Source organism: Homo sapiens, chromosome 7 (genome assembly GCF_000001405.40).
Source record: "Homo sapiens chromosome 7, GRCh38.p14 Primary Assembly".
NCBI classification, from domain to species: domain Eukaryota; kingdom Metazoa; phylum Chordata; class Mammalia; order Primates; family Hominidae; genus Homo; species Homo sapiens.
In genome coordinates this window covers 21,910,546-21,925,727 of record NC_000007.14, presented here as the reverse complement: position 1 = coordinate 21,925,727, position 15,182 = coordinate 21,910,546, and the positions used below count along the sequence as shown (strand labels likewise).

At 41.2% G+C, this 15,182-nt stretch overlaps 1 protein-coding gene across 3 annotated transcripts in view; it reads left to right on the top strand.

The window, feature by feature from the left end:
* Positions 1 to 15,182, top strand: part of CDCA7L (cell division cycle associated 7 like) — a 45,001-nt gene that overhangs the window by 20,172 nt on the left and 9,647 nt on the right. For 2 of the 3 annotated variants that reach the window (NM_018719.5, NM_001127370.3), the window contains 2 exons: positions 8,834 to 8,974; positions 13,974 to 14,111. In NM_018719.5, the coding sequence (NP_061189.2) occupies positions 8,834 to 8,974; positions 13,974 to 14,111 (279 nt within the window). The remainder of the gene's footprint in view (positions 1 to 8,833; positions 8,975 to 13,973; positions 14,112 to 15,182) is intronic. The other variant, NM_001127371.3, reaches the window with a different exon arrangement.

Genomic DNA, 15,182 nt, shown 5'->3' with positions numbered 1-15,182 from the left:
TGTAGAGCTGGAGTCTTGCTGTATTGCCCAGGCTAGTCTTGAACTCCTAGGCTCAAGTGATCCTCCTGCCTTGGTCTCCCACAGCACTGGGATTGCAGGCATGAGCCACCACACTTGGCCTGATAATCCTTGATTTTATGATTCTCTTAACTGCTAATAGTAATTCATATACGCCTTCACCCTGAGTTTAGCTACATTTTCCTGGCAGTCTTGAAATTGCACTGTATTTAATTTTTTAAAAATTAACTGCCCTATTTTAGATGTATATGATGGTACTTAGTTTCTGAAGCCTTGGGTTCAGTGTCCTCATACCAGTTCTGTATAGAAGTGTTTGTCTCCTCACACCTTCCCCATCATTGAGCATGCCCTTAAAAATGGAAGCAAAATGTTGCTAAATTGCTAGATGAAAAGAATACTTGTTTTACTTGCCATTCTTTTCATTACTAGGTAGGCTGAGGACTTTTAAAGTGTTTTTAGCCTCTTTTGTTTTCCCTAGTGAGTTTTCTTTGTTTTGCCATTTTGTCTGTGTGGCCATGGTATATATTTCATTTTGTATGAGGTTTTTAGCAATTTTAATAATTTGTCATATTTTTGTCAGATCTTTGCCCTACCTTTTTTTGTTTGTTTGTTTGTTTTTGTTTCTGAATTTTCTTCTTTTAAGTAGCAAGCTTTAAACTGTTACATGGTCAGTGATCTACTTTTCCATTTTGGTCTCCTTTACGTGATTGGTGAAAGTCCTCCCCATTCAGAGGTCAGATGCATGTGTGTGTTAATTTAATTCTCTTTTGTGCTTGTTTACCATTTAACTCGTCGACCATCTGATTTATTTGTTTTCTTTTTATTGAATTATGAGAATTCTTTATATTTTCTGGGTGCAAATCAGAGACAGCATTTGCAGATATTTTCTCCCAGTGTGTGGCTTTCCTTTTCATTCTCTTAACGGTGTTTTCTGAAGAGCAGAAGTTCTTAATTTTGATTGTTTACTTTACACATTTTAAAGATCTGTATTGTGTTGTATCTGGTGTTGTATCTTAAGAATTCTTTGCCTAACTTAAGGTCACAAAGATTTTCTCCTCTTCTAAAAGTTTTATAGTTTTATATTCAAGTTTGTGATCCATTTTGAGTTAGTTCTTGTGGTTGGTGCATGGTATGTACTTTTCTTATGGGCCAACAAATTTATTTGTAAAAAATTCAAAGAAATGATTTTGCATAAGAAAATAACAGTTCTCGCCCTTCGTGGTGTGTTAAAGAGGAAGGAATGCTCTCCTCTGTGTAGATCTCTTTTCATAGATGCAAGATAGTACACCTTGCAAATTCTGCTGTCATTGCTATCAAAATTGCTTTCAAAACACTTAATAAGGAAAATGCAGTAGTGTGCATAAATATCTTTTGTCTGCTTTTTAAATCTTAAAATAGAGCTTGCTTCTAGGTGAAATGTACACTGAATATTCTTGGAGTATATCAGAATCAGCCCTTGTATCAGTTGGCCTAAAAAGTGAATCTTATTTTCTTTCTCTTCAAAAACTAATACTGATAAATGTGTTCCTTCTGGGTAGGAGGTTGTATTTTTTAATCCAGGAAGGATGAATTTAGATATCATTGAGTTATGGAAAAGCTTTAATTTAAAAAATATTATACTTAATTTCACAATATAAAGTTTTAAATGAACAATACTTCACGTTAAAATATTTTCAAAGGTAAATACTTGATTGAATACCAACTGACAGTTTGATGATCTTTTTATAGCTTATTAGTTTTTTAAATTGAATTTTAATGGAGACTCAGGCTGACAAAGGTCAAAATGGTATGGAGACCTCCAGAGCACTGCTTTGTATGCCTGAAAGGCACCTACTCAACGAGAAGCCAGCAGCAACTCAGCAGGGTTTATTTTTATTAGTATAGCTTAGCTGGGATAGAACAAAGCTGGATTTCAGCCAAGTGTGGTTCTGCAAACAGCTTTGTCCTCCAGACTATCAGTTAACTAATGGGCTTACAGGCTCAGATACCTGGTTGGTCAGACACTAAAGCTGAAGCCTTGGCACCTACAATGATGTATCTGAACCTCCCTTAGGTGAGAGAGTTGGGTTCTTAAGCCACATGCCCCTAAAGTGATGGTACCATTAAAACTAGGCTAAGGTCTGGACTTGTTCTGTCAGTTTGGAAGATTTCATTCACTTAAGGAAGGAAAAATTCCCCTCTACCCCGGTTTTTCTTTTTTTCTTTTTCTCTTTTAGAGACAGGGTCTCACTGACACCCTGACTGTAGTGTAGTGGTATGATCATAGCTCACTGCATGCAGCCTCTAACTCATGGGCTCAACCGATCCTCCCATTTTAGCTTCATGAGTAGCTGGGACTACAGGCACACGCCACCACAACCCAGCTGATTTTTGTATCTTTTTTGGTAGAGACGGGGTCTCACCATGTTGCCTAGGCTGGTCTCAAACCCCTGGGGTCAAGTGATCTTCCTGCCTCGGCCTCCCAGAGTGCTGGGATTACAGGTATGAACCACCATGCCTGGCTTAAATTGTCTTTCTTGTCTTTTTTCGTTGAATTCTTTTTAAATTGTGCTAAGATACATATAACATAAAATCTCCTATCTTAGCCATTTTAAAATGTATGGTTCAGTAGTGTTAAGCATATTTAAATTCCAAAACTCTTTCCATCTTGGAAAGCTGAATCTGTATCCATTAAACAGTAACTCCACGTTTCTCCCTCCCCTCAGCATCTGGCAAGTGCCATTCTGCTGTCTCCGAGGATTCAACCACTCTAGGTACCTGTTATAAGTAGAATCATACCGTTCTTGGTTTTATCGAGACTGGGTTATTATCATTTAGCATAACGTCTTCAAAGTTCATCCATGTTGTGGCATGTGTCATAATTTCCTTCCTTTTTAGTGTTGAATAATATTCAATTATATGTATGTCTCACATTTTGTTTATCCATTTATCCATCGATGGATACTTGGATTGCTTCCACCTTTTGGCTCTTGTGAATCATGATGCCATGAATAAGGGAAAGGATATAAAGTTTTTCTTAATCTTCTTAACACTTTGATGCCCTCTACTATTACTACTAGGCACTAGTAGATATATTAATACTGTTGGTAATATTTGGAATTCTGGCATTTGCAGTTTCCTTGGTGTCCCACAGAGCCCTATGAGTTCCACCGTGCATGTTCCCTGAACAAGTTTGAGATCCAGTCTGTAGATGGGAAGTTTCTTACCAACACTCAGATTCTCAGGTTCTCTGGGAATGTTGGAGGTCAGACACACCAGACCCCTGTTCCTGCAGGGCAGTGATCAGCTGGAGTGGAGGAGTGGCCTGCCTTCCCTGATATATGTGTTCAGCCTACCAGTCAGCACCATCCCATATTGTCCTACAGCTGACCTACTGCCCTGTTACCCACCTGCTTGGCCCCAAAGCCTGTTGAGTTGGCATAATGTATTTCAGAGAAAAGCTCTCAGGTAATCTGTATGGCTTATAAGGGAAACCTGCAGTCCTTTCTGAAAGGGGAGCTGTGAATATGACTGCTTTGTAGAAAGATGTCTTAGGATTCTGGGTGAAAATTTTTAATTCCCCTCATGTAGGAATGTCACAGAGTGTACCTTTTTGACTTAGTATTTTCCTAGTAAAATACACCTTTCTTAAGAAAATGGCTACAAAGTCAGATGCATGTAAATGCTTTCAGCAAGGGTTTGTTGATCATCTGCTTTAGGCTGGGCTCTATGTTAGGTGCCTGTGGATTCCATTCTAGTACCTGTGTTCTCATAGAATTGAATCCTGGTCCCCCATATGACTTTTGATGATATTCACACTGTTAATTCCAATAAAGACAGAGTAGACAAACAGAAACTGTACATGAAAGGAATAGCATGAAGTTGTCGATTTTTAACAAGTATTATAAATAATGAAACGGTCTTTTCACTTTCAGATGAGAATTTTCCCTTTTTTTTTTGGTTCACTAGATAGTAGTTATCCTAATTCAGAAGTTCAACTAATGTAAATATCCATTGATTGAGAAATTTTGTATTTTTGTTGTTTTCAGTTACTTGTTGTAGTTTTCTTTTTGGTGAGTCTTATGATTGGCTTTATTGTAATAGAATGGAACACAAACTTTGAAAAAAAAAAAAAAAGGTCTTGCATTTTTGTCTAGACTATGCAGCTACCCAGTGGATCGCTGCTGAATGGAACAGGAAAGTGACAGATCCTTGGGCCTAATGTATCACTGTGTTGTGGAACTGGTCATTCATTAGAAGAGGTCCCTGTGTATCCTTTCTATCAGGTCCTTCTCATATAAATCTTGCTGCCTTTGTTGCATCTGTTAGACAAATCAGTTCGTTGCATTGAGGACACTTGAATATTTTACAGTTTTTTTTTTTTTTTTGGCAAATCTTGAAGCTTGTGACTATCTGAAACTCTTTTAATACCTTTTGAAGGATCAGAGCCCTGCGTACCCCAGGAATGCACACCGTTTTTTTGAAAGTGTGCTCTTTCCTTTTGTTCCTAATCAGTAATTATAGCCCCCTAATGGTACCTCTGGAGCAGATGCAGAAGTCAAAGATGCAGAAGGAGGAATTAGCTAGTCAGACACAGGCTCGCAGCAGTGGTGGGGCTGAACACAATAGCACAGGGACTAATGCAGTTGCTGCTGGAAGCAGTTTATTCCTATCACCAACCCTCTCCATTCCTTGTATGTATTTCCATTAAATCCATAAATGGGGTGCTCCTCCTCCTTTAAACCATTTATGTTAAAAGAAGCTTCTGGGCCAGCAGGGCTGTTTGAATTTTGTAGAATGGTGAGAAGGCCAAAAGAAAAAGACTGAAATTGACACACTGTCCCTCTTAGTGCCTCTGCAGGGACTGAACTCAGTGGCTATTATGTAGCTACAACATAGGCACACTTTCATAAGTATTGTCTGTGTTTCTCTAGTCTGGGTGTTTTCCTTGCGTATTAGTTCTGAGTGCTAAACAACAACAAAAGGTGTCTTTGAAAAGATAAGGTGGCAAACATTGTTTAACATACCTCCTTGAGAAAAGTTTCAATATTTTCCCCAAGAATGATGTCAGAGTTAGGCTTTGCTAGTGCTGCACTACGTGTGGCTGGTAAAAAAATTGTTAGTGGAACTCTACTTCTGTAAGTGTTGTTCTTGTTTGTCCCTTGCAGTGATTTTATTAGATGGTGGGAAAGTGTTTGTATTAACCCTTCAGCATCACTGAACTTGGGGTATCCCATTTCTGTATTTATGTTACACTTCCTTTGATTGAACCATTATTTTCTAATTATTTTTAATCAAGAAGCATTAAAATAAGGATGAAAGTAAATAGATTAAGGATTACCAGTTTCCTAAATGGAACCTGACTAAATGTAAAATTAAGTCAACACACCCACACAGAGAATTCCACGAAGCTAAGTAGCTTTTGAATACACAACTCTGTATATGCTAGTGCAGTGGTCAAAGTGTGAGATGGAGGACCTGAGACCCTTTCACGGGTCCATGAGGGCGAATGTAATGTCATAATAATACTAAGATTATTTGCCCTTTTTGCTGTGTTGATATTTGCACTGATTGTGCAAAAGCCAAAGTGGAGAAAACTGCTGATCTTTAGCATGAATCCAGGTGGTAGCAACAAACTGTATTAGTAGTCATTGCATTCACCTCCATGCACTCAATTTAAAAAGAAAATGTCAGTTTCACATAAGAATGTTCTGATGAAACAGTAAAAATTATTAAGTCTCAACTGTTAAGGACATCTTTTTAATATACTGCATGATGAAATGGGAAGTACATGTGAAACATTTTTGCATAACCATGTACAATGATCATCTGGTTAGCTGAAGGAAAAGATCCTGTGTATAGTGAGACTATGTTCCAGGGCTAGAAAGAACTGCAAAGAAATCTTGAACTGCACTGTTTGTTGTTGGTAGTATATTGGTGGCGTCAGTTTGGCGCTATTTTGTGTTTATTGTAGATAGAGCACCACATGGATAAGTATATTAAAAATTTTGGGAATCGAGGGTTTTCCTTGTGGTGGAACGGCGATGCTAATGTGAGATGAGGGAGAGATGAGGGAGCAGAGGAAGAAGCCTCCGTGTTGGATTTGAATTCAGGGTGTCACCATGAACTTGTGATTTACCTATTTAAAATATCCTTGCTCTGTCCAAAGAGCCTACAAGCAGTGATACTTAATTAACCGAGATGCATTGTGTTCTCCGAGCTTGGTTTTTAAATGCCATTTCCCAGTGAAAGGTTTCAGGGCTCCTTGGAGAAATGGCTGATTTGAGGTCTGGGACAGGAAACATACAAGGTTAGCTTGCCATGCTTGTGTCAGAAAGCAAGGAGGTGTTGAAAGACCCTTAGTGCCATGTCAGAAAGACAGAGGATGACTTTCCAAGAAGCTCCCAATGGCCAAATTTGGGACAGTCAGCATTATGAGAGTATGGATTATAACACATTTAATAATAATTTTTAGAAATCCATGGATATACATGGTAGAAGAAAAGGGGGAGAGTGAGAGAAAGACTATATTATACAAGAATGCCAGCTACTTTGTGAAGGAGAGAGAAAATCTGAAAATTTCTCTTTTGCAGTCCCTAATGTAATAATTCATTCAAGGGTGCCCTGGCTCATGCCTGTAATCCCAGCACTTTGGGAGGCTGAGGTGAGAGGATCACTTGAGGCAAGGAATTTGAGACCAGCCTGGGTAACATAGACCCTGTCTTTATTAAAATAAAAAATATAAAAAAAAAGAATTGTCAATGGACGCTGAAACTGTTGAGCAAGATGTTATCAGGGAGGCTATTCACAGAATCTCAAGTCTCACTCTGCATATTCCTTATTAGTGACAAAGGAGAAAGGGTGTTTTTTGTTGTTGTTATTGTTTTTTGTTTTGTTTTGTTTTAAAAGCGAAGAACAAATCAGGCTGATTCCACCTTAACTTATTGACCAAACAGCAACATCACTAAAAAAAGAGACAGCCAGACCTTATGTGCTTTCCAAAGGAAGAACATAGCACTTCCTAAAAAGTAGTCTTGGCAAAAGCAAGCCAACTAGAAGTAAAGCCTCCGGATTCAACTCCCAAATTGTAAACCCAAATGAGTCTGTTAAACACCACCTTGGGGATGCAAAAAAAATAAAACTTCAGACTTGGACAGACTCCACAGTCAAGTGACCCAGCTTCTTCAAAAATAAACTGCAAGAGAAAAGAGATAAAGGAGTGATGAGAAGGGATTTAAGAGCCATGTTGATCAGTGTGAACCTTATTTGGATCATGATGCAGATAAACTAAGTTTTTAAAAAATGAGGCAGAAGAACTGTGAATACAGACTGCACATTTGATGATGATACAGAGTGACATGATACTATGTCTACAGTTGCCTCACAATAATTTAGAAGAAGGGGAGTTGGGTCGGGATCCAGGGGAAGCACAGTTAGCCTTGGGCAGATAATTACGGGGAGGATCAATGTGTGCTCATTACAATATCTTCCCATCTACTTTTGAAATATCTTTGAAAGTTTTTATAATGAAAAATTTTTTAAAAATTACTAATTAATAGTGGGATAACTTGACATTTTGTGCCCCCTTATGCAATGCATTGAGGAGTACATGTCACCTATGTAGAATGGTGACAAAAATACATAACCTGAATCTAATCATGAGGAAACACTCAGATAAGCTCAGAATACATGACATTCTACAAGGCAGTTGTCATGGTCTATCTAAAAAGAAAGTCAGTGTTGTGAAAAACAACAAAAAACAGTGTCATAAAAATCAAATAGAACAGTTGCAGATATTAAAATATAGAGTTACAGTAAATCGTACTATTGAATTAATGTTAATTATTTTCGGTACAATTATGGTTTTGTGGTTCTATGGGAGAATGTCCTTATCCGTGGGAGATATGTGCTGAATTATATTCGGGCCAATCAATACAATGTTTGCAAATTACTTTAATCAATGTGTGGGAATATATGGATTAGGTTGGCTCATATTAAATTGCTATTTTCCTAAGTTAAAAACAGCCAAATATCAGCAAATGCCCATGGTTCAACCTAATATTTGTTGAAACAGAGAAAGAAAGCAAATGCAGTGACCAATAATGGGTCTAGATAAAGAATCAACAGGTGTTTGTACTATTTTTTCACATTTCTGTGTGTTTGAACTTTTTTAAAACAAAGAATTGGGAGAAAATAGTCAACTTACAAAAATGAACTCCAGCAGATACATATTTGTGGATTAAGTGTGCTGACATTGTTCTCTCTGGGATCAATTATCCCCTAATAGCATTTGAATTCTGTTAGAATTAATCCCCAGCTACTTAAGTTGACTTACAATATAGAAAAGAAGAAAAGCTACTTATTTCATTGTATGAACTTTCTACTTTCTGAATCAGCCTATGACAAAGAAGAGAAAAATAAATAGTGTAGGTGAACATTAAGAAAAGTGCTTAATGATATTTTATGGCATCTTTTTTATGTAGATGACATTTAAAGATGCATCCACTGTAGGAGAAAAAAGAGATCATTGGTTCTTAGAAACAATTTTTCTTTTTGTCAAGAGATCAAACATGTCTTCTCTCTGGCCTGGTTTTAACATTCTCTGTAAAATAGGGTGTATATCTAGAATTTTAAGTTTTATCTCCCCCACCCACCCCACACCTTATTTTGCCATGAGTTCTTAGCTGAAGAGTGTTTTGCTGAGGGTTACTGGGGACTTCTGGGCAACCGTGGCAGTTGGATGAAGTGATGAGATCTCTCCTCCCCTCCAGAAAATGTCCCTAAGTGATTAGCAAGAACCCCTGGTTTAATCCTGCCTCTTTTGAATCCAAAACAGATCCCTAAAGAAGTGGCTGACATCTTTAACGCCCCCAGTGATGATGAAGAGTTTGTTGGCTTCCGAGATGATGTTCCCATGGAAACCCTCTCGTCAGAGGAGAGCTGCGATAGTTTTGACTCACTAGAGTCAGGGAAACAGGTATGGATGATTCCTTCCAAGCAGATGTGTTCATCTGGAGGCCTGAATCTTGGTTTGGATGTTCTTTTATTTGAACATGGTGTGAGATTGGTGATATCAGTTCATTGTCTAGCATTTTATTTTAGAAACATTATGTCTGTGTCTTCCTGTTTTAAAAAACTGGTGAGAGAACCTCGTTCACTTTGCTGTGTTAATCCTTCCCTGTACCATAATTCTTTTTTTTTTTTTTTTTTTTTTTTAAATAAAGGGACCTCACATGATCAAGTGCATTTTCTTGGCTGCCTTGGGGCTGTAACCTGTGGCGAGGCTGTGTTCAGGGTCTTCCCACAGAGGCGAGGCTGCGGCGAGGCATGAGGGATTGTGTGGTTACGGGGAGACAATTACACCTCTGTGGTCCCGTGGTGCAATTCTGTTGGCATGTCCTCTTGGAATTGCTGGGGAGAGCCTTATTCTTGCGTTAATTACTTTGATCTCTAGCACTCACAAGTTAGAGTTCTCTGACAGGTAGATTCCTGGAGGTTCACATTGTGTCCTAGTAGTAGAATGGCCAAAATCTCTACCCTTCAGTGGCATTTTCTTCTGAGTTAATTGTGGCACTCAAAATTCCTCATTCTGCCTTGACCATGGCCTCTCCAAAAAGGCAGCAAATTAAACCCACTTTGCTTCCACTGGGCAAGTCCAGGAAGGGAAGCAGTTAATTATATGTAAGTGAAGTGCCTGCTTAATTACGTGGGCCACTGTAAGTTCTGGCCTGGTGGGAGCTGTGCTTTCTGAGATCTCTGGAGGCTCCCTGGTCTCTGTCGTCCTCATCTCATTTGGCATCTCCACAGCAGTTGACCCCACCAGTAGACCTCCTTCTAACCACCTGGGTTTCTTCCTCTCTGTTACACCTTTTGCTCTTTGTTATTATTATTTTCTTTCTTTCCAAGATGGAGTATCATTGTGTCACCCAGGCTGGAGTGCAGTGGCATGATCTTGGCTCACTGCAACTTCTGCCTCCCGGGTTCAAGCAATTTTCCCAGCCTCAGCCTCCCGAGTAGCTGGGATTACAGGCTCCCACCACCACGCCTGGCTAATTTGTGTGTGTGTGTGTGTTTTTTTTTTTTTTTTTTTTTTTTAGTAGTGATGGGGTTTTGCCATATTGGCCAGGCTGGTCTCAAACTCCCGACCTCAGGTGATCTGCCCGCCTTGGCCTCCGAAAGTGCTGGAATTAGAGGCGTGAGCCACTGTACCTGGCCTGCTTTTTGTTACTGTCACTTGTTTTCCCTGTTCGTGTCCCTAAATGCAGATGTTCTCTAAGGGTTTGTCTTCAGTCTTCTCACTTAGTGAATCTTGTCTGTTGTCCTGCTTTGAGCTGTTACTGTATTCTTTTGTGGAGCTTGTCTTCTCTCTCCAGCCCCAGGTGGTTTCTGACTACCAGTTGGACTGGTCCTGGTTGCTAAGGGAGATCTGAAACTCACTTCTCCTTCCCTTGGTTGTCTTTCTGGCTTCCCCCTTTCCCCATCTTGATTTCCATCTTTTGTTCTTGGCCTTCCCTCCCCTCTTCCATCTCCTTGACTCCCGTCCAGGAGTTGATGAAACTTCTGCTGTGTTCCTGGTGTCCATCCTTCCCTTCCCTCTGCAGCTGCCGTAGCCCTCGTAGCTCTTACCCGAATGCTCATCCCTTCCTACTAGGATCTGTTATAGGATTGACCTCCGGTCAGCTCCTCCCTTAGCCCTCCATCTGAGCACAGTCAGGCGGTGGGGAGAGCAGAGCCTGTTGGATCCACCTTGAGGAGCATTTGAGCAAGGCAGAACATGTCTAAAGGGCCGAGCACAGAGCCTGGCAGGCACCGGGCATTAAGAAACAGAACAGCTGCTTCTGCTGCTATGATGACTCCTTTTGTAGTCAGGTGTGTTCTCCCCAGGGAGGACAGTGTGCCAACTGCTTTTCATACAGATACTGCATTTAATCCACAGACCTCCCTGGGAAGCTGCAGTTTTGCAAGTGATGAAACTGACGTTCAGGAAGGTGTAATGACTTGCCCAAGGCCCCACATCTGGGAAGTACCAAGCTGGGATGTTCCAAATCCAGGGCCACCACTTCTCAGCCTCTTACCCCGCCGGGTCTCTTTCCTACCTGCTATGCTGCAGGGCACAGGAACTGAACTGACACTCTCATTATCCACTGTTCTGCCCTTTCTGCCCACTGGTCCATGCTGTTCCTGCCTATCTGTGCTCTCACCATTTTTCTAGCCTCTACCGTGGCTCACATCCAGTTATGCTACTTCTTCCATGAAGTCTTACTGGATTTTCTTTCCCTCCGTGTGCCATATTGCTTTGTATCCCTTAGAGCACTGACCCTCACCAGGGTTATTCGTGGACCTGTCTGCCTCCCTGTTAGATTATAAACTCCTTAAGAAGGGGAGACCTCATACTTGAATGGTGCTTTCTAGCTTCCCTGGCTCTGACTTTTCGTCCTCATGTATTGTTCCTTTCCTCTGATTTCAAGCATCCAACACCCCACCTGACTGTATACAGTGAGCACGGGGGGTGTTGTTTGCTGGGTGCAGTTGAAATGGGGTGCTTGTCTGGCTGTCTGGTTCAACAGGCCATTGCTCTCTGGTCTGTTTCTTCCATGTCACATGGACTTCAAAATAAGTTTATCCACCTATGTTAGCTTCTCCTCTGATGTGTTATTTGCTTATGGTCCTGATCATGGTAGATGACCAAGGCCTATAGCATAGCACCCAGTATTGATTTTGAAGATGAATGAACCAGTGCCAGAGAGCAATCAGCAGTGCCAGGGTTTCTAACTCAGAATGCAGTGGAGCAGTGTGGAGTGGAGATTGGCATCATACAGACCCACATGGAAAACAGTACTTACACACTTTGGAGTAAGGAAACTAAAGCACAGGCCTCAGTTCAGGACAATGGTAAGTTGTTTTTCTCTATCAGGACTGACCATCAAAGATGGTAATCTCTCCCAAGATGCCCATTGCCCTGGGAGGCCAGCACACAGGATCAAAATAGCCAGAAAAACTGGAAGATGGGAACTCATAGCTTCAAGGCTTGCCCTGTTCCCTTCAGGCCCTAGGCAGGGGCTTTAGGTAGTTGATGAAATTTGCACACAGAAATACCACTCTAAATTAGCCTGCAGGGGCTGGCCCAAGGCTCTGTGAGCCAGATGTTTCTTGCACTGAGAGGCCTCAGGTGCATGGTGGGTTTCCTTAGCAGCAGCTGTGTACCATTCTTCCTTAATAATCAAGCCCTGGCTGCTTCTCTACCCCGACCCCACAGGCTCATGATCCATTTTAACCAATAGAGAGAAGCTGCATGAACTTGCACACAGTATGTGTATGCTAACTCTGGTCTCCCTTAAACACGATTTGAATTTCACTTTAAAGAAACTTCCCTTTTGTGTGTGCAATTTTTTTTCTCAAGCAGCTGCACTACAGCTATCAACAAAGGAACAAAGTAATTCAGCTCTGAGCAAACTCACTCCAATTACCCATAATAATTCATAGGAGACATTTTTAAGCTTACAGAATGCTAGATGTAGGCATTTCTTTCTGTGTGCCCCTGTAAGTTTTTCCACTTGTCTATTATATCTATCTTTCCCCAGAGATATATGAGCTCAAAGAAGTATATAATTAAAGGCGGGGAAACGCAGTGGGGTAGATACAGATTCCCCGCCAAGTGTGGTGTTACAAGGGGTCATTGCTATATCAGAGATGGGGGGAAGAGACGTCAGAGGAAACTGGGGACAGACTCTAGTCTTGATGAGGTGTGGCGGGCTTGCAGGGGGCTGGTCTCGTGGGTCTCCCTTTGGCCTGCAGTTTGTTATTTCCTCTTTCTTTCAAGTATACTATTAAGAGAGTTGGGTTTCCATCTTTGCACTATTTCAAAAGAAAAAGTATTAGAAAATGCCTTTTCTTAAAGAGTCACATTGCATCTTTCCTTCTGCTCACTTGCCACCTAGCCATGGTTGTTCACCTCTCACCTCCTGCACGAGAGAAATTCCTGGGGGTGACCTTGAATGAGCTTTCCATCAGGCCCCCATGGTGTCTGCTCATGGAGCAAGTCTAGGCTCTCTGGTGGTGGGCGGTGGGGGCTGAGAGAGGCCCCAGCCTTTTCCTACAGAGAAGCTCGCTGTTGGTGAATGGGAGGCATGCTCACCCACTTGGAGGAGACTCCGGCTTTGAAAGGCTGTTGGAAAGGGAAGCCAACACGTGGGAGGGAGCCAGGTTTTCTCCTCATATCTTCTTTCCATGTGTTTTGGTTCTATGTGAAAGCAGACGTGTCTGGTTGCCAGCTTTGGCAGGAGAAGCTGAATTCCATGAGCACTTACCAGTCACATTAGAAGCTGATTGAGACTACACCCAATTTTTAAAAATTGTCTGTCTTGTAGGTCTGAATTTTGTAAGCTTTAGAAAATGTGTATATATGTAATATATACGTGTACGTATGCGGGTTTTTTTGAGAGAGGGTCTCACTCTGTCACCCGGCTGGAGTGCAATGGTGTGATCTTGGCTGCAACGCAGGCTGGAGTGCATTGGTGTGCAGCTCACTGCAGCCTCGACCTCCCAGGGTTGGGTAATCCTCCCACCTTAGCCTCCCAAGTAGCTGGGACTACAGGTACATGCCACCAGACCCAGCTAATTTTTGTATTTTTTGCAGAGATGAGGTCTCACTATGTTGCTCAGGCTGGTCTTGAACTCCTGAGTTCAAGTGATCTGCCTGCCTCGGTCTCCCAAAGTGCTGGGATTACAGGGTGAGCCACTGTACCCGGCCAGTGTTTTTTTTTTTTTGTGGTAAAATACACATAACATGAAGTATATCATTTCAGCTGTTTTTGATGTGTACAGTTCAGTGCATTAAGTACATTCACATTGTTGTCCATCCATTTTCGTCATCTCCATCAGAAGCTCTGTACCCGTTCAGTAGCTCCTCATTCTACCCTTCCCTGGTAACCTCTATTCTACTTTCCGTCTCTGATGTATGTGTGTCTTTAATTTAGCAGGATGTGCGCTTTCATTCCAAATACTTCACAGAAGAGCTAAGAAGAATTTTTATAGAGGACACTGACTCAGAGACTGAGGATTTTGCAGGATTTACGCAGAGTGATCTGAATGGAAAGACTAACCCAGAAGTAATGGTAATAATTACAACAGGAAGGGATGTGGGTGGTAACGTTTTTAATCCTGTTTCTGAAAGAGTTTTACTTGTAAGCAGTCACTTCACAAGTGAAAAGATTTTTCTTACATATTTATCTTACAAGCAATTAACATAACCTAAAAAAATTGCTCCTGGAAGGCTAATCCCTGGTCCACCAGTCCATTATTCTCTTAGAGAAAATCCATTCATCTTCTCCTCGTGCCTTAGGGGGTTTTTGGGGATGTGTCCCAGGCGTCCTTTATTGTCCTTCTCAAAGAATTTATCTCTCTTGGCCAGGCACGGTGGCTCATACCTGTAATCCCAGCACTTTGGGAGGCCGAGGCGGGTGGACCTGAGGTCAGGAGTTCAAGACCAGCCTCACCGATATGGTGAAACCCCATCTCTCCTCAAAATACAAAAATTAGCCGGGCGTGGTGGCGGGCACCTGTAATCCAAGCTACTCGGGAGGCGGAGGCAGGAGGATTTCTTGAAGCCGGGAGGCAGAGGTTGCAGTGAGCTGAGATTGAGCCACTGCACTCCAGCCTGGGTGACAGAGCGAGACTCCATCTCAAAAAAAAAAAAAAAAAAAAAAAAAAAAAAAAAAAAAAAAATTATCTCAAGAGTTCCTTAAACCTCTTTTATCTAAAAGTTTATCTTAGATGACAACTTTCTTGAGATACTTTCTTACTGTGTGTGAAGTGACAGTTTTTGGTTTGAAGTTAATTTGGCAAAAATTTGGCTGTGGTACAAACTTGGTGTTCCCCATGCATTGTGGATTTGGATTTGTCATGCTTTTTAGTGTTAAAGATGACCCAGGCCTGCCTGGATTCTGGAGGGAAGTCTACTCTCAGCACTTCCTATGAACAGACTTGTTAGTTATTTGTTTGTTTTATCCTGCACAGTTAGGCTAGTTTACTGCCCACTCGTGTTTGAACCTGAAGGTAACTTTAAGGCACAGCCTTCGGATTTAAGTGCAGAAATGTTTTCTGCTAAAAATAGCATACATTTATGCAAAAAATAAACATGCTACTATCTTCTTCAGTATGAAGATGGAACGTAGAGTTTACGCCTC